A 19,342-nucleotide genomic window follows, 5' to 3' on the forward strand; every position below is an offset into this window, starting at 1 on the left:
ACCTTCACCACTATAAGTTCCAGAACATTTTCATCACCCCTCAAAAAGCCCTGTACCCCTTAGCCAACACCCTTCCCATTTCCCCACCTTCCCCAACCCTAGGCAACCATTAATTTACTTTCTCTCTGTATAAATTTACCTATTGTGAACCTTTCATAGGAATGGAATCATACAAAAATGCAGTTGTGACTGGTGTTCACAAAAAGAGTCAAACTCTGTAAAATATTTTAAGAGATTTATTCTGAGCTAAATATGAGTGACCATGGCCCGTGACATAAACCTCAGGAGGTCCTGAGAACATGTGCCCAAAGTGGTCAGAGTACAGATTGGTTTTATATATTTTAGGGAGGCATGAGACATCAATCAAATACATTTAAGAAATACATTGGTTTGGTTCAGAAAGGTGGGACAACAAAAGTGGGGGCTTCCAGACTATAGGTAAATTTAAACATTTTCTGGTTGACAATTGGCTGAGTTTATCTGAAGACCTGGGATCAATGGAAAGGAAATGTTCAGCTTAAGATAAAGGATGTGGAGACCAAGTTTTATTTTACAGGGGAATCTCTCAGATAGCCGACTTCAGAGAGAGAGAGCAGGTTATGAAATGTTTTTTTATCAGACCTAAAAGGGTGCCTGGTACTTAGTTGATTATCTCCTGGATCTGGAAAGAAAGGAAGGGAAACACATTCTCTGTAGAATGTGGGTTTTTCCCACAAAAGACTTTGCAGGGCAATTCAAGGTATGTCAAGGAAATATATTTGGGGTTAAATATTTTTTTCCTTGTCTCATGATGTTATGCCAGAGTCAGATTGAAAAGTAAGTCACAATATATAGGGTTAAATAAAACCCATCTGATGAGAATTTATGGTTTGTAGGGCATGACTCCCTAGACCCCTTAGATAGGAATTTGGGCAAAATCAAAAATTAGAGCTTAGTCCTCACTGGCTTCTTTCACTTATTTAGCATAATGTTTTCAAGGATCATCCATGTCGAAGTATGTATGGATACTTCCTTTCTTTTTATTGGTGAATAATATTTCACTGGTATGTATGTTGACAGAGCAGGAGCATTGCCATCTTGGACAAGCACCGCCATTCTAAAGTTCCCCTTGATCAAAAACCACCTAAATCCAAAGGGCTTCAGCCTAATGGGTAAGGTCAGCATGACTGTAAACCACAAATGACATCTCCTACCAGAAACATTCCAACCATAAGATAAACCCCTCCCCGACCAGAGACATGCAGTCCTGAGATAACTTCCCCTCCAGCTGGAGGGATGTCAGCCCCAAGATTACTTCCCCTCCAACCAGAGACATTCCAACTCTGCAATAGGCTTCTCCCCTGCACAGAAACATTCCAAGCCTGTGATAAGGTCTCTCAACCTAAAACCAATAAATACTCTTAGTCTGTAAGAGGGAGTACTCCTGACTGAAATCAGCCAGAAGACCCTCTCAGGTCTTATACAGGTTTATAAGTATCCCAAATAAACCTGTCTTTGACAGTTGAACCACTTTTTTGTGTGTTTGTTTCCTTTTTCTTTAACTCTTACAGATATATCACAGTTTTTTAAACCGGTTCATTAATTAAGGAACATTTTGATTATTTCTATTTTTGGCTTTTATTAATACTGTTGCTATGAACATTTATGCACTCTTTTTTTTTTTTGAGACTGAGTCTCACTCTGTCACCCAGGCTGGAGTGATCTTGGCTCACTACAACCTCCACTTTCTGGACTCAAGCCATCCTCCCACCTCAGCCCCACAAGTAGCTGGGACTACAGGCCTATGCCACAAGGTCTGGCTAATTTTTGTATTTTTTTTGTAGAGACAGGATTTTACCATGTTGCCCAGGCTGGTCTTGAACTCCTGAGCTCAAGTGAGCCACTAGCCTTGGCCTCCCAAAGTGCTGGGATTACAGGTGTGAACCACCACACCTGGCCTATGTACATGTTTTTGTATAGACTATGTTTTGTTTTCTGTTGGGTATATACATTGGAGTGTAATTTATCAGTCTTGTGATAATCTTATGTTTAACATTTTGAAGAAATGCCAAACTGTTTTCCAGAGTGGCTGCGCTGACTTTTAGAATAGTGGAATAAAGACATCTGAATATTCACTTTTCCATAAAAGCAATGACTACACTGGCAAATATTGCCAAAATAAACTTTTTCAGAACTCTAGAAATTAACCAAATGTTTGCAACAATTTGAGGGGTGTTCACTGAAAAAAAAGGGGGGCTCCTAAATCTTGGTAAGAAGAGTGAGTTTTGTGGCATTTGTCCTATTCCCATCCCCCTCTTGCCAGCTCCATGGTAACCTTGCAAACCAGAAGCTTCGTAGTCTCAGTATTTGTAAAAACCAGTAGCCTAGCAGCCACTGGAGGGAATAGACCAGGTTTGGAGCGCCAGGGCTAAAAGCTCTATCCTTAGTGAATTGTCGCTATTTGACCTGTCTGGAAGATTTCTGAAAAATTACAAACCATTCACAGGGCTTGAAATTTGACTTCAGAGCTCACTTCGCAGGAAAAGACCTATCTCCAGTGTGTTTTCAAAAACTATCAGTATACTTGCTTAACATTGTAATTGCCCAAAGTGATGATACCAATTGGGACAAACCAGAGGCTTTTACCACTGAGTAACCTCCCAGGTGTTAGCAGGGAAAGTTATCTCATTCAGGGACTAGGCACTTTACATATATTACCCTGTTTAACGTTTAACTTTGAGGTGCATGTGTCTCAGAAATACTAAAAGTTGAGAGTTAAACCATCAAATGCTAAGAGTCTATGCTTTGTCCTGTTAGCAATGTCAACCCACCCTCCTATTGAGGCAATCAGTCACAGAGGCATTCCCTGCTCTCCACAAGCCAGTCTATTCTTCAAGAAGGCCTCCATTGGTCTTCGTATTGAGCACTCCAGGTCTTTGATTAGTGGAATGCAGTTCAGATCTCTGGTCTGCTGTGGGTTGGGAATTGACGTTTTGCTTGACTTGGTCTCATGCTACCATTCCACACTGATTGGAATGGACACCCCTGATAAAAACTCCAGAGCCCTCTTAGTGTTTTGGATGTTGCCCATTGGTCCTCCTGATGGCCCCTCTGAGCTAACCTCTGAAACACATCATTCTGCATTCTGTCTAGGTTTGGCTTCTACTTCCCTCTTTCTGGATTCATGTTGCTGAGACCCCACCATACCTTAGACCCATATGATTTAGGATGGAAGATAGCCTAGTTGGCATGGCCCTCTCAGGAACAATACTTTGTGTTCCCACTCTGTTCCTTGCCCTTCAATCCAGTCTGGCACATGCATGTGCTCAACCATCAGACTGACTGTGAGTAAAGCTACTGATAAATGGATTCTCCTGCCTAATCATCCCACTCCTTTCTTCTTGTTTTCTGTATTATTACTCTGATTTACCTCTGTGTCTCAAAACTTTAGACTTGGCTACCTTAATTCTGATCCTGTTTGCAGTCCTTTGAACTTGGTTCCCTGGATGTTTAACTTTAGCTCCACCTACTATTGGATTTTCCTCTGGCATTCCTTTGTCCTATGCTGCCTTAACCTTGACCCTTGGAATTTATTCCAGATTTCAGTATCTTGGCCAATGCTTGTGTAGGCCAGGTCACACATGCTGCCAGCACAGGGATTTCAACAGAGAAAACTCTCTTTTTGTTCTTCCTCAGTGTTCTTATAAGGCCTTGATACTGAATGGAGACTAGAAAAGGCTTCTATGCACAAAAACATTTGGAATCAGTTTCTTAAACCAAATAGAGAAAGAATTTTCACAAAAGAAGTTGCTACCCTCATGTAACTTAACTTAAATCCTCGTTTGTTGTGATAGGCACAGGGGAAATGCAGTTTTTATAAATACGAGTCAGAGATAGGAAATATATTTTTCATGGTTACAATGATGTATATTTTTGTTAGAAAAACCCTTCAGGATACAGTGCTCCCAGCTGAGCTAGTGGCTTGTCTACCAATTGGTAATGAGCCTGGCCATTGTGAATCGCTGCCAATGTGAGATGGATTAGAGGAGAAATCTCTTTCTTGAAAAACAATGATAGTTACCATTTATTGAACACTTACTATAACCAGATACTGTTCTATCCATTTATTATCTCCACAGGGGATTGACTCAACTGTTAGGCTATTGGATTAAATGATCTCCATAGGTCCTTCTGGCCCTATGACTCTATGAGTTAGGAAACAGCAATAGATAATTTGTCTGGTGTAATGTATTTTGTTGGCTCTCACTTCCATTATTTTCTCTGGAAAATATCCTCTATAGCTATAACCGTATAAAAAGCTTAAGCTCGGGTAGTAATGGTTGGTCTAACCAGTGCTCCCGGCCAGACCCTAGCTATCTCTGCAAGTTGCAACATTATGGGTACAAGGGGAAGAGACTGTGTCATTAGGGACCTGAAATGGTAGCTGCCTCTATGTAGAAGCATGGAAGAACATACCCCTTTATAAGTCTGGTTGTCTGGGAACATAAACAGAGCAAAAGAACCCAGATGAAAGCATTTGACTAAGGGCCATCTCCCTTGATTTTTAAAATTCTGGGTTCTCAGTAAAATTGTGAGATACCTTAAGACTAGAAAAGAGAAGTGTCTCTATTGTCTTTTTTAATCCTCCCAGTTATCTTTTTAGAAGTTGTCCAGTCTTTTGCCAAAAATACATTCCTTATTACTAGTAAGCCTAGGCTGAAAATAAGAATTTAACAAAATGTTGTTTTCTGACTTGATCTTGGGGTGTTTTTTTAAACTACTATTTTGCATGTTCACAGCAAAGTTCTTAGCGCTTGTTCATTCCCTCAGATCCTTTTTTTTTTCAATTAAATAGCTGGGAAAATGTGTAAAACTATTAGCTCTAGGCTAAATAAAATGAAAAAGGTAATATTTAGATTAATACACTTTTAATGAACATTTTTTGGGGGGGTAACAAGCAGAGGAACAAAAATAAAATTGCTGTATGGCTGCTGCACTTCAGAAAAAGAGTCAAGTTTAATGATAAATCTGGCCTTAGAGAACCAGCCAGAATGGATAGGGTCTGAATAGGATTTAAAAACCCAACTGTGTGCAGAAATTAGAGTTTTGCCCCTGAATCATATGGAATTACAGTGCTGGGTGCGTGTGCCATGCCTACACAATAAAGCCCAGAGGAAGCAGCTATTTCTGTTGGTTTTATTAAACCAACCAAGCAATTTAATTCTTTTGTTCAGGAGAGTTCTACTTCATTGATTAACAAAAGCAGGGATATAATTTTTTCAGCCTTTTTGAAAAGCCTGAAATGTCAAGCCTTTTAAAGCAGATTATTCTGCCTCTGTGCAGTGAATACAGCCAGAGTAACCTTTTGTCTACAATTAAATATTCTAGCATAAATATAAAAGAAAATCAGAGATGGGAAAGATTGACTCACGAGAGATTGGAGAGGTAGATTCACACAGTGATAGTGCAAGCAGCTTGCTTCTAATTAAATATGCGACTGAGTCTCAATGCATTTGCTTTCAGCCGCAGAGAGAAGAAGCTGCCCAAGAATGGAAAGGAAGAAATATATCACATCATCTGTCTGTCCACAGGCTTTCCTTGGGGCTTATGAAGGTATTTTAGAATTTTTATATTGGCATTTTTCAGGGGAGATAAAGGTGAACCCTCAAGGGCAGTCAGACAACAGTCTTGAAAGTTTGGGCTTCCTTGTTGGTACACTAACCTGACTTTAATAGCTTTCTTATTAGTCAATAACCAAGGTTAATATCAATGACTTTGTTTTTAGATTTGAAGCCATCATGTATGATATTGCCAGACGTATTGCTGTGCTTTGGGTGACCTTTTGTTATTTTGAATTGGGGCTACTTATTGATTTTTCTCTTTTTCGCTTACTTTATGATAAATTCTTTAATGCATATTTTGGTATTTGTACCTTATAAGTATGAACCCAGAAAGCAAAATTCAAGTATCCTTAGCTATTTCTAACAAAATGCATTTTAGAAAATGATAAGGTTTGCAGTTGGAGACTTAGCTTTATTTATATTCATAAGCCTTTCATCTTTATACATACTCATGGCATTTTCAGGGAAGTACTTAAATATGGCACTTATAAAATGCTGATGACATAAAATATGGTTGATCCTCTTAGGGTTTGCTGCTTACACAGAAAAATCGGAAAATAATAAGAATGAAATTTCTCTACTCTATAACTTTACCTTTCCATTTCAGATTTTGACATTACTGAAATTATTGGAATTACTTTGAGGAACTTTGCCTGTTGAGTGTCTTATATGCACATAAGAACTTTTCCCATTTGCAGGTGAAATTTGTATTTGTTTATGAAAATAATTGATTGGATTGAAACAACATCGGAATTCAGTTGGCTTTTAGTTTGTATATTTACTGTACTTAATGTGCCATGGGTTGTGATTTTGAATAGAATCATAGACATCCTGTGCATTTTGGAAGCTTGCCACTGGGAAAGGCTTAATATTTGTAAATTAATAGTTTGCACTCCTCAAAAAGTGGTTAGGGCAATAATTGAATGTTAGCAATAAAGCTTAAAATTTTCCATCTTTTGAGATTTCTCCCTCTTTTAATAAGTAACTTTGTCAAGCAACATTCTCTATTGAAGGGAAGAAAACTTTCAATTGGGTCTTAATATACTATTCACCTTTCCCTTTATTAATATAAAGATTATGTTTAGTACTGTGTTTAACAAGAAATGTACTTACACAAGTATTTAATCTTAGCTTTCTTAAGGAAATAGGCAAATATCTTAGTTACTAATATTAAATATATTAAAGCTTACACATAAAGCACTAAAGGATGTCAGAATTGAGAATTTTTTAATGAAAGAAAAAATATTTTGATGATTAATAAATTAAAATGTTCTGGGCTGATTTATAGAGAAATATTCCACCAAAGGTATCAGTCTTCATGTCAACTTGCCCTTCCTAACAGTTCTATAATTATCATTGAGTTTTAAAAATGTTTAAATTGGATTTTCATGTCTAGGATTAAGTGTATATTATAGATAAAAATGTAGAATATGTATATATTTTGTATTTTCATGTGAAATATAATCTCTAATACTACATAAATTGTAATGTATTACATTGCTAATGGAAATAAAAATATGCTGATACTTTTCTGGGAGGGAGGTTGTTTCACTGATCAGATATTTTTCCTGTGAGAGGGAGAACATAGTGATTAAATACTATTGCTCTGGCAAGAAAAATAACAGCAAACCAACTAAACCAAAAAAAGCAAGTAAAGAACAAAACAAAAAACAATTAAAATTACATTAATGTAACAATAATCCGTCAAATTCCACAGCTTATTATTGAAATTTTCCATACTGAGATTTATTTTTGTTTGCAATATCCGATATACAGTTGTCTTGGATATAGATTTATATTTTAAAGTAGTTAGCATGCAGTTGACCAAGCCTTTGTTCATTTGAGGGAGTATGTGTGAAGGGTTAGAACTAAAGGATAAATTAACTCTGTTGAATTATTTCTGAAGTTGTTTGCTTCCAGTGAAAAACAAGAAACATGATTTGGTAATACATATTTAAACCGACTCTTGCTACACATTTTTTCATGTTGCTCTTCCACAGCTTTTCATTTAGCTACACTAAAACAAAAGAGGATCACCTTACTTTTGAAAACATTATTTTTAGTATATCTGAAATCAGATATCTGATTAAATTATTATTCAACAATAGGCTTGGATTGACTTTGGCATTTTTTTTCTTTGAGGAAAACCACTGATCTGCAGAATCTATGTTTGAAATGACAATTTACATATTTATTATTATTTCAAAAGGCCCAGAAACTTTTGCTTACCAGACAGTTAGAGTTATAACAGTGAGTTCAAATTAGTGATTCTGGGGAATGTTTTGATACTGTTTTCTAATAACGAATAAACTACACCCACATCATCACAGAAACAAACATACGTGTTTCTCTCATTTCATTGTCAATGCTTGGTGCTAGCTAATGCTTTTGATTCTATGATCATTATTCTAAAGAAAACACTTATTATAACAACAGTTGGTTTCTTATAAAAGGAATATTTTAATTCATGAGATTTTTCAATGTAGTTATTAAAATATTAAGTATTTAACTGAGTAGCTGTAGAAAAGTCAAATTAATTATAAATTATACTTTAGGTTCACATTTATTTACATTTATACCTATGATCAATTTTTAAATTATGCTTTAAATTATACATACCATTAAAAGCAAGGTTTGATCATATAAAGAACAATTCATAATTAAAATTATGCATTAGAAGAATAACAGAATTAACTTGAATTATAATACAAAGAATACTTTGTCACTTGTTATTGATATAACTAAAAATTATTTTATTTAGGAGAAAACAGAAGCCCTTAAAATGCACATTTTCCAGGTGAATAGTATAGAAATACTGAAGAGCAACAACTGTATTTTTTTTGTTGTTAATTTAGATAACACTCTTGCTATGAAAATATGTAGAGCGAATTTTGGCTAAACACAAGCTGAAGAGATTACAGCCAAGTTTTCACTATTGGGCACTACATAAAATCTTTATTGCACATTTTTTACTTCATTACATTTTTTTCTTATCACCACCTGCCTTTTTATTAAAACTTTAAGCTATAGCATTAAAATCTTTAAATCTATACTTTTTCCAATAACTACATCAGTATTTCCATACCAATTAAATTCATTGAAAAAATAAAAAGCCTTATTTAAGATTATGAAAACACATGTTTTCCATATTGGCTTTTATTTCAATATTTCCTTTCATGTTTTCCATTTCTGCGGAAGTAAGGAGCTGGAAGGGATGTACTACTTTTGCGTTAGTGCCACCCGGCCTTGGAGAGTAGAATAAATGCTGCTCCAGCGACAAGTCACCATTTTGAAGATGGGCCAGATGTGTGGCAATATTATGGTGGGCAGGGAAGTCTCAAAATAAGATGCTACAATCTGTCTATGACTCACCAGCGTGTGTGTGTGTGTGTGTGTGTGTGTGTGTGTGTGGTGGTGGTGGTGGTGGTGTGTGTGTGTGTCCTTAAGGAATGTTTTTGGCCAAATGGTGCTTAAAAATACTGACAATATTTTACCTCAGCTTGAATCTTGTGATTATCAACTGTAGATTTTCAAGAAAGATGCAAAAAGGCAAATGACTCAAAGCATATGTAACTAATTTAGGACCTGTTATCAACAAGGAACACAAATTGGAAATATTGCTGCATTATCCTAAAGAGAACCCTGGGAAATAATCACTTAAAAATATATATATATTTGTTGAACTAGTTGGTCTAGTTACACAATGGAAATACAAGCATTTGACTTTTTGTTCCTTCTGCCATTGTTGTGGTCTTCCCTATAATGATGAGCTACTATGCTTTCCTGTGTTTACTCAAAGATACAGAAAAAGGCATTATCCTCATTTCCCAATCTGGAGTGCTAAAGAGATAGGGTCATGGACACGTAAGGGGTTTAAAAGATGAGATGATGGATTCACTTTTATATTTTCCATGCTTTTACTTTAATGCTGTGATTTTACCATATTAGGAAAGGTCTTTATATTCAACATGTTTGATTGACATTTTCATTTCGTGTCTTGACTCTTTTTGGGAAAGTTATTGCTAGAGGCTTGGAGCGGGGTTCTGGCTTTCGCAAAACAACTGTGAGTTCATCCTCCCCTGTGTGGAGATAAAGAGGAAGGGTCATGAGGGAGCAGGTTAGATTTGGGGCCCAAATGCTTGTTTTAGGAAATAAGGAGGATGAGGGGAGTAGATGTGGATAGGAAATGTAAAGTAAATATAGGGAGCTTTCTGAGAGATGCTGCAACCAAGAGACTCTCTTCTTTACCCCCTCTAAGGTACCTGCTCTAAGTGGTGTGGACTTTCAGTATGAAGAAGGGTCAAATGTATTTTGCTCAGAAAATTCAATGGGTTTTATTTAGTTTTCAAATTCAATCCATCAATAGATCATGTAATTATATGCTAAAATTCAAAAAGTATAAAAGGTTAAACAGTGAAAACTTGTTATCTCGCGTGGACCCCTCACCACTTAGTTCCTTTGAAGGCACTTTGTTGCCTTCGAAGAGGCAACAAATGTGATTAATTTCTTAATTATCATTAATTATTCCAGCGATATTTTATGTATTTCTAAACAAATTCTCATGTATACATATTTTTTCTTTTACATAATATTAGCATAACATACCTCCCATTTGCATCTTGTTTTTTCACTTCATATATGGAACTCTTTCCTTATTCTTATGCAAAAGGTGTTCCTGTTCTATTTTTATGGTTGCATAGTATTCTGTTTTCAGTATGCACCATAAATCATTTAATCAGTTGCCTATTGATAGATGTTTAGGTTGCTTCCAATCTTTTGCTCTTATAAAAAAAGGCAAGAATCAGACCGGGTGCAGTGGCTCATGCCTGTAATCCCAGCACTTTGGGAGGTCGAGGTGGGTGGATCACTTGAGGTCAGGAGTTCGAGACCAGCCTCGCCAACATGGTGAAACCTCCTGTCTACTAAAAACATAAAAATTAGCCAGGTGGTGGTGGTGCATGCCTGTAATCCCAGCTACTGGGGAGGCTGAGGTAGGAGAATCGCTTGAAGCTGGGAGGTGGCGGTTGAAATGAGCCGAGATCGCACCACTGCACTCCTGCCTGAGCGACAAGAGCAAAACTCCATCTCAAACAAACAAACACCAAGAATCATTGTGCATTACTGGCTAGGAAGTAAAATGGTACAGCCACTGTGAAAATAGTATGGTTTCTCAAAACGTTAAAGATATAATTACCATATGATTCAGAAATTCCACTCCTAGGTATATAACCAAAATAATTGCAAGCTGGAACTAAAACAGATATATCTCGTATACCAATGTTCATAGTGGCATTATTCACAATAGATAAAAGGTGGAAACAGCCTAAATGTCCATCAACAAATGAATGGATCAACAAAATGTGGTATATACATACAATGAAGTATTATTAAACCTTAGACAGGAAAGAAATTCCGATACATGTTACAATATGGATGAGTCTTGAACACATGCTAAGTGAACTGTCAGATACAATGAACAAATATTGTATGATTCTATTTATATGAAGTACCTAGGATAAGCAAATTCTGTCTCTATAGACAGAAAGTAGAAAGTGGTTACCAGAGGATAGGGGAAAGGGGGAAAGGGCAGTTAGTGTTTAATGGGTACAGAGTTCGAGAAAATGAAAAAGTTCTGGAAGTGGATACTGGTGATGATTACACAACAATGTGAATGTACTTAATGCCACTGAACTTTACATTCAAAAATTGTCAAAATGGTAAAATTTGTTACATATATTTTACCAGAATAAAAATATCACCCAAAAGTACAACAGTGAGCAACCATGTACACCTGTGATTTTGCATGTATGGAGTACATTTTCTTAATAAATTCCTAGGATGTGCAAATACATGTGCATTTGTAATATAGTTACTTAGTTAAAGATTGTTAGTTATCTTTCTACCAATTGTGTATGATGCTGCCTGTTTCCTCGTATCCTAACATGATGTATTTAATTAAACTTTTCTCTCTCTGGCAACTTGATAGGTGAAAACTCAATTGCTCTTTTTAAGAACAATTAAAGGAAACGGTGCTTGTAAACTTCTTTGAGGGTCTGGAATTGAGATCCTTATGTGTATGAATGGGGAAGATGAGGCGTACTTGACCTTTTAGCCTATGATCAAATGGAAGCCGTATTTGAGCTGATAATGTGAAGAGCTGAGTGATATGTTGTTCGTTAATTTTCAAATGGCCTTAACTAAAGATGGGTTAAACAGTTTGCCTAAATGACATATATGGTATGGTTTCAACTGTACACTTTACAGTTTAAGGTAATTTCAACTTTCTTCTTGGTTGTTAATTTATCAAACATTTAATAATAAATAAGACATAGTGCCTGCTTATGAGGAACTTACAGTGGGTTGGGGGAGGGTACCCAATAAGCAGGCAATTGCAATATAGGGTAATATTGGGGAGATTGTGGATTGATAAAGAAATAGAGTGGGTGGGTCTTTATCCCCAATTTGGGTGCTGAGAAGAAAGGAAAATATTTTAGAAAGGGCCATATCTGAACTGAGTCGTTCATCACAAAGAGGAGTTAGGCAAGTGGAGTGGGAGAGAAGAGAAAGGGAAGGGACGTTTGAAGACTCTGGAAAAAGAAAAGACACAGTCATTGCAAGTTGCAGAGGCAAGAGAAAGTATGAAACCTTGAGGGTATCCCAGATAGTTGGGGTGGGCTGCAGCTTAGAATGGAAGAGTTCCTCTGATGAGCACCTGCTTCCTATTATCTCCAAAAAGTTCAGAACTTGGACATATTTGGGGTTCTTTCTCTTGTCCAGGGGCATCTCCCAAATATGTAGCTTGAAAAAGGGTTTTCACTTTCACCCTTGGTAAGACTGTTATCTCCATAGGGTTAGAGAGAATATTTGTAAATATTTTGAAATTCTTTTGACACCAGGACTGTAGTATGTGTAACAGGCCTACCTCTCCATGATCCAGAAATTCGACTCCTAGGTATATAACCCAAAGAATTGAAAGCTGGAACTAAAACAGATAATCATATACCTTGTATACCAATGTTCATAGTGGCATTATTCACAATAGATAAGAGGTGGAAACAGCCTAAATATCCATCATTTAGTCTCCAGATTTTATCACAAAATTAAATGCTCATTTTAACAATCTAATAATAAAGATTCTACCCGTGCTTAAAAACATGCCCTGCTTTCTTCCCATTTCCTTGATTCCTTTTTACTCTTTAATTTACATCCTCTTATTCCTTTTTCAAACCCTCCTGAAATTCCATCTGCATTACCAAGCCTTTCTTTGAAGTATTTCCTAGTTCTGTCGTTCCCCTGGCCTATAAATCAGTTGTTTCTTCTCCAATCATTTGCTGAGGGTTGATTCTGTGCTGGATACTGGATAAAATATGCTGAGGATACAAGGATGAACAAGACCAGTCCATGACCTCAGGTTAATATTCTCGGAACATTTTATTACTTCTATTATAGTGCTTATCACAGCCTGCCTTGTATTACAGACCATAATTAGTCTGAGCATTTTGATTCATATGTGTAGTCTGTGGCCATAGCACAGTGCCTAGGACACACAAGTGTATGTTGTCAAGACTTTTCAATTACTAATAGAGAGAGAGGATATTTATTGAGCATTTATTCTGTACACTGCACTTGGATAAGTACTTTACAGCTATCTCATTTAACTTTTCTCAAAACCTTGCAGAGCCAGAATGATTAGTTCCTCCATTTCACACACAGGAAACTGAGAAACAGAGCACTTAAGTTATTTTGCCCAGGATCAATCACACTGCTAAGAAGTAGCAGAGCCCAGATTTAGACCCGCAGAGTCTAGTTCCAGGGCACTTGGTTTTGGTTGTGATTCTAGACTAATTTTCTTCTCTCACCATTCCAGTCTACAAGGCACACAATCAACAGCACAACTTTAGTCCATGTGTAATTTTGTTTTACTCTATGTCCCCAAGGTTCTGTGGCCTGTGTTTGTATGTTATAATAAATATGAGTCCACAGCTAGGTTGCAGCATCCAGGCTGTAAACTGTAGACAACAGGTAACATCTATATTTATCTAGTTTTATGTGAAGCTTGTAGACTGATGTCTGCATTTGTGTGAGCCTTTAAATGCCATTTGATGATTATAATGAAGCTGATTTATGCTGCTTACCAGATGGGTCTCCAAGGCTGCTTGGAAACTGTGGCACAAAATGTAAGGGCAACTTGAAGATAGCTGTGATATGACCATTGATCTTTAGAGCTTGCTTTTAGCAAGTCCTTGGCGTGATTTAGACAAGGCCTTCACAAACTTGTTCACTGAAGTTTACCTACAACAGTGGACAGTGAAGCACCTACTCCTGAGATCTGGCAATGAAACACGGAATAATCAAAGCATGTCATTCCCTGTAAGTCTCCAGATTTTATTGCAAAATTAAATGCTTATTTTTAACAATCTAACAATAATTAAAGACTATCCATGCTTAAAAATGACAAGGTTTTCAAGCCAGGTGTGGTGGCTCATGCCTGGAATCCCAGCACTTTGGGAGGCTGAGGTGGCTCACCTGAGATCAGGAGTTTGAGACTAGCCTGGCCAACATGGCGAAACCCCGTCTGTACAAAAAATACAAAAACTTAGCTGGGCATGGTGGTGCACACCTGTAATCCCAGCTACTCGGGAGGCTGAGGCAGGAGAATCACTTAAACCTGAAAGGCGGAGGTTGCAGTGAGCCAAGATCAAGCCACTGCACTCCAGCTTGGGTGACAGAGTGAGACTCTGTCTCAAAAAAAAAAAAAAAAAAAAAAACAGACGACAAGGTTTTCAATTATTTATGATCAAATAAAATGGAGGAGGTGTGGTGTTATTTTCTGCAACCCGAGGATTTGCTGGCGTATCATCTCATCATAATTCACTTGGAGGAGCACTGGTCAAATGAAACTGATGTAGTTTAGAACACGTGGTCACATAAAACAGTTGTCATACCAAGTCAGAGTTAAGAGGGTCCACAAGGCAGTCTCTGCAAATCTGAAGTCTAGTGCTGACTATCCTTTAAATTGATTTATTTCAATAATGGTCATCTGATGTTCCTGTATGTCTGGACAGATGGGAGCTCTATTACTACAAGCAATGTGGGACCAGTGTAACATAACTAAGGAGATTAGCAGAGTCCCCCTGACCCTTGTAATTCTAAGTTAATCTGGCTTGAACCCCAGTCTTCAGTGTTCCCCATAATTTATTTGCATTCCTAAGGGCTTGTTTTCTTGCAGCTTCCTCTGTTGTAATGTTTTGCATCTGTAAGTGTTTTGTTTTGTTCTTTGTCAACCTGGATGAAAATTCAGTGCCTCTACTAGTTTACTATCCCAAATCCACTCACATCAACCATTTCCTGAGTTTCTAACTTTATTGAATGTTTGAGGACTTCAGTCTCTCAATGATTTCATTAATTGCTCCCTCTTCTTTCTCTACCCTGACCTTCTTTTCTTCTACTCCTTCTCTCTTCAGAGCAAACAAATTTCTCTCTCTGTCTCATGCTGTGTAGTTTCACCCTCTCCCCTGAATCCTTGGCCTTAAGTGACATCCCTGCCCTGCAGGACTCATCCACCCCAAGTGGGCCTACTAAAGCATTTTCTCAACAAAGGCAATTCTCTCGCTAAGAGGAATTCTCATACCAGCTGCCAGGAGAATAAAATGTGCTTCATCTAACCCCCCTAATAATAAAGCAACAAAGGTTGAGAGTGATTTATTTTCTTTTAAAAAATAAATTAGAACAGACTCAAGGTTATCTTGGTAATAATAGCACTGTCTCTCTCCCCTGCATTCCAATATGCTGTCTTGAATGGGAGTGAAAGGCATGAAGTTACAGCTCGCTCAAAGGGAATTGAGCATAGGGGTGCTATCTGTATGTTGCAGGGGACAAAAGAGCTTCTCTACTTTGCCTGATTACTGGTGAGTAGTTATCTAGCATCTGCTTCTACATCCCCAAAGTCGAATTTACAACCTCTTAAGCCAGGACATCGTGCATAGGGCAATACTAACAATTTAGAAAATTATTCTTTGTATTGAGCTGATTATCAGTCTTCTGGAGCTTCCATCCTGGTATTCTAACTATTTCATGAAGTCAGACCTGACTAATTTGATTTGAGTTACATTAGTCCAGCATCATATACTATCCATCCTAAACATACATCTGATAAGCCACTTTCTTGCTCAAAATGTCTTAGTGGCTCACCATTACACAGAGAATGAAATCTTAGCTCCTTAGCAGAACAGTGTCCTTGATTTTTTTTTTTTTTTTTTTTTTTTTGAGACACAGTCTCACTCTGTTACCCAGGCTGGAGTGCAGTGGTGCCTGCAATCTCAGCCTTCCAGGTTCAAGTGATTTGCATGTCTCAGCATCCCCGAGTAGCTGGGATTACAGGCGGGTGCCACCACGCCCAGCTAACTTTTTTGTATTTTAAGTAGACACGGGGTTTCACCATGTTGACCAGGCTGGTCTTGAACTCCGGACCTCAAGTGATCTGCCCATCTCAGCCTCCCAAAGTGCTGGGATTACAGGTGTGAGCCACCGCATCCAGCCGCCACTTATTTTTATTTTGCTTTCCTAAGATCGTGACAGCTCCTTAACCTGCCCATCTCTCCTCAGCATCCTGTTTATTCTCCAATGGAACTTTTACCTTGAAGTCTTTTTTTGCTATCTCTAGTCAGATGAGTTGTTGCTATCACTTGTCTTCTTGTCACTTTAGACCTGCTCTGTCCAATACTGTAGCCACTAGTCACATGTGACTTTTGACCACTTGTGATGTGACTGGTCCAGATTGAGATGTTCTGTAAGCGTAAATTAAATGCTAGATTTCAAAGACTTAGTACAAAAAACAGAATGTAAATATGTCATAAGTAGGTTTTATTTTACACCGATTATATGTTGAAATGACAATATGTTGGTTATATTAGTTTATATAAAACCTATTACATTAATTTCATATAAAAAATCTTTTAAATCTGGCTACTAGAAAACTTGAAATTACATGCGTGGCTCTTATTTGGCTTGCATTAAAATTCTATTGAAGAATCCTGCTTTAAACCACTATATGTGATTCAATGCTAAGCACCTTGAATTACCACTCTTTGTGTGCATTTCAGCCCCAGCAACAACAGTTTAAGCAGTCTGAGGTCAGGAACTTGTAACCTGCTATATTCCTCACTGCTACAAAATTTGTCAGGTGTGCAATACATGCTAATGAAATAAAATAGAAAACATTTCTATCAGAAGAGGTCAGAAATTCAAATGACTACAGAAACCAGGCAGGTAGCATAATTATATGAAGTAAGCTGGGTTTCATAGAAATCTTGATGTCAGGGACATGATGGGGTTGGGAGAATGTTGGCAGGGATTATAGTCATCTGAATATTCATTGCTGTGTAAAGAGACAACCACTATGCCACCCTAGCCAAATTATTACATAGGAATAGAGGCCCGGGTTGCCAAATTTTCCAAAATTTTGAGAGAAACTGGATATTTGGATCTTTATGTGAATTAAACTGATTTTCATATATTGATTTAACTCATATAAATTTTGTGTGGACTAAGCAAAGCAAGTCAGTGGCCTTGCTGCAGCCTAAAAGTTGCCTAAAGAAGTTTGTGCTTCTCATCTAGAGGGTAAAATAAAATTTACAATACCATACTACAGAAGAGTAGAAGAACAAGGTTTATTATTGTGGCTTTGATCAAGAAGAGGCTGGAATCAGAAGCTCAAATTTGCAGATCATTCAATAAACTATTGGTAAATGATATTTCCAAACACTCCCAAATACTTTAAGTTAAAAAACATTCCCTTCTGCAGAATTTCTCAAGATGTAAGTCCTTAAGGGAAAAAAAGGGGGAGTTTGAAGGGTCTACAAAATAAGTTTATTGACAGGAGTGTGAAACTGCCAACTTAATGCAAAAGAGAATAAAATGTCTCTCATTCCACAGTTTGTAACTGCTTACAGTTTAGGAAATGACCAAAAAACCCCATCACTGTCTGAGTTTTCAGAGCTCTTATGACTTGTGTGTTTAGAGAGGAAGTCTTGTGGCTGACTAGTTTAGCACACATGAGGTGACAAGCTTAGAATGAGCTGAATGCTGGTTAGAATAATGTTATTTTTAAATGGCAGTATGCTGCTTCTAAGGTAGATTAGCATTACCCCTGCTTTGGTTTTCAATTCTCTGAAATACAAAATCCGTTCTCCAAGTGATGCAAAAGAATTCTGGCTTAGGATAGTATTGCATGTTGAATAAATTCTTATTAGTAATTTATTTTTTTGTCATTTTATGATGCTCAGTAACCTGTAGTCATAACAATATCAGAATTAGCCTACCAAAGGGTCATTATTCTGTGGAGTTGGAAAATAAGTGGAGATGTAAAATTGCACTTTAATTTACATTTTGTTATTTTCCATGTAAATTGAGTACCTGAAATCAAAGATTCTATTTACAATATTGTTTTTGAAAGTCATCCATCATGTATAAATGAGTAGATAAGAATTTCTAAAGCTCTCCTAAGCAAATAGGAAGAAGGAGCATGTTATAAGACGAATCAACGTAATATTTTCTCTTTTTTTTCTTTAATTTTTAAATTTTACTTTAAGTTCCGGGATACATGTGCAGAATGTGCCGGTTTGTTACATAGGTATACATGTGCCATGGTGGTTTGCTGCACCTATTGACCCCTCCTCTAAGTTCTCTCCCCTCATCCCCCACCCCCCCAACAGGCCCTAGTGTGTGTTGTTCCCCACCATGTGTTCTCATTGTTCAACTTCCACTTACGAGTGAGAACATGCGGTGTTTGGTTTTCTGTTCCTGTGTTTATTTGCTGAGGATGATGGCTTCTAGCTTCATCCATGTCCCTGCAAAGGACACGATCTCATTCCTTTTTATGGCTGCGTAGTATTCCATGGTGTACATGTACCGCATTTTCTTTATCCAGTCTATTATTGATGGGCATTTGGGTTGGTTCCAACTCTTTGCTATTGTAAATAGTGCTGCACTAAACATACATGTGCATGCGTCTTTATAGTAGAATGATTTATATTCCTTTGGGTATATACCCAGTAATGGGATTGCTGGGCCAAATGGTATTTCTGGTTCTAGATCCTTGAGGAATCACCACACTGTCTTCTACAATGGTTGAACTAATTCACATTCCCACCAACAGTGTAAAAGCATTCCTATTTCTCCACAGCCTCGCCAGCATCTATTGCTTCTTGACTTTTTAATAATCACCATTCTGACTGGTGTGCGATGGTATCTTATTGTGGTTTTGATTTACATTGCTCTAATGATCAGTGATGTTGAGCTTTTTTTCATGTTTGTTGGTCACGTAAATGTCTTCTTTTGAGAAGTGTCTGTTCATATCCTTTGCCCACTTTTTGTTGGGATTGTTTTTTTCTTGTACATTTGTTTAAGTTCTTTGTAAATTCTGGATATTAGACATTTGTCAGATGGGTAGATTACAAAAATTTTCTCCCATTCTGTAGGTTGCCTGTTCACTCTGATGATAGTTTCCTTTGCTGTGCAGAAGCTCTTTAGCTTAATTAGATCCTGTTTATCAATTTTGGCTTTTGTTGCAATTGCTTTTGGCATTTTTGTCATGAAGTCTTTGCCCATGCCTATGTCCTGAATGGTATTGCCTAGGTTTTCTTCTAGGGTTTTTATGATTTTGGGTTTTACATTTAAGGGTTTAATCCATCTTGAGTTAATTTTTGTATAAGGTGTAAGGAAGGGATCCAGTTTTGGCTTTC

The 19,342-nt window shown here is 37.2% G+C and overlaps 1 long non-coding RNA gene across 2 annotated transcripts in view, besides 1 other annotated feature; it reads left to right on the forward strand.

Moving 5' to 3' along the window:
• Window positions 4,657-6,820: an enhancer, noted in NCBI's record as "VISTA enhancer hs192". NCBI's record gives its function as "enhancer in: forebrain[6/8]" and the evidence as "EXISTENCE:transgenic organism evidence [ECO:0001131][PMID:17130149]".
• Window positions 5,486-19,342, forward strand: part of SOX2-OT (SOX2 overlapping transcript) — a 685,549-nt gene continuing 671,692 nt past the window's right edge. For both annotated transcript variants that reach the window (NR_075091.1, NR_075092.1), the window contains exon 1: window positions 5,486-5,592. This is a non-coding gene — a long non-coding RNA (SOX2 overlapping transcript). The remainder of the gene's footprint in view (window positions 5,593-19,342) is intronic.

The sequence above is a fragment of the Homo sapiens genome, chromosome 3 (genome assembly GCF_000001405.40).
Source record: "Homo sapiens chromosome 3, GRCh38.p14 Primary Assembly".
In the NCBI taxonomy this organism is placed as follows: domain Eukaryota; kingdom Metazoa; phylum Chordata; class Mammalia; order Primates; family Hominidae; genus Homo; species Homo sapiens.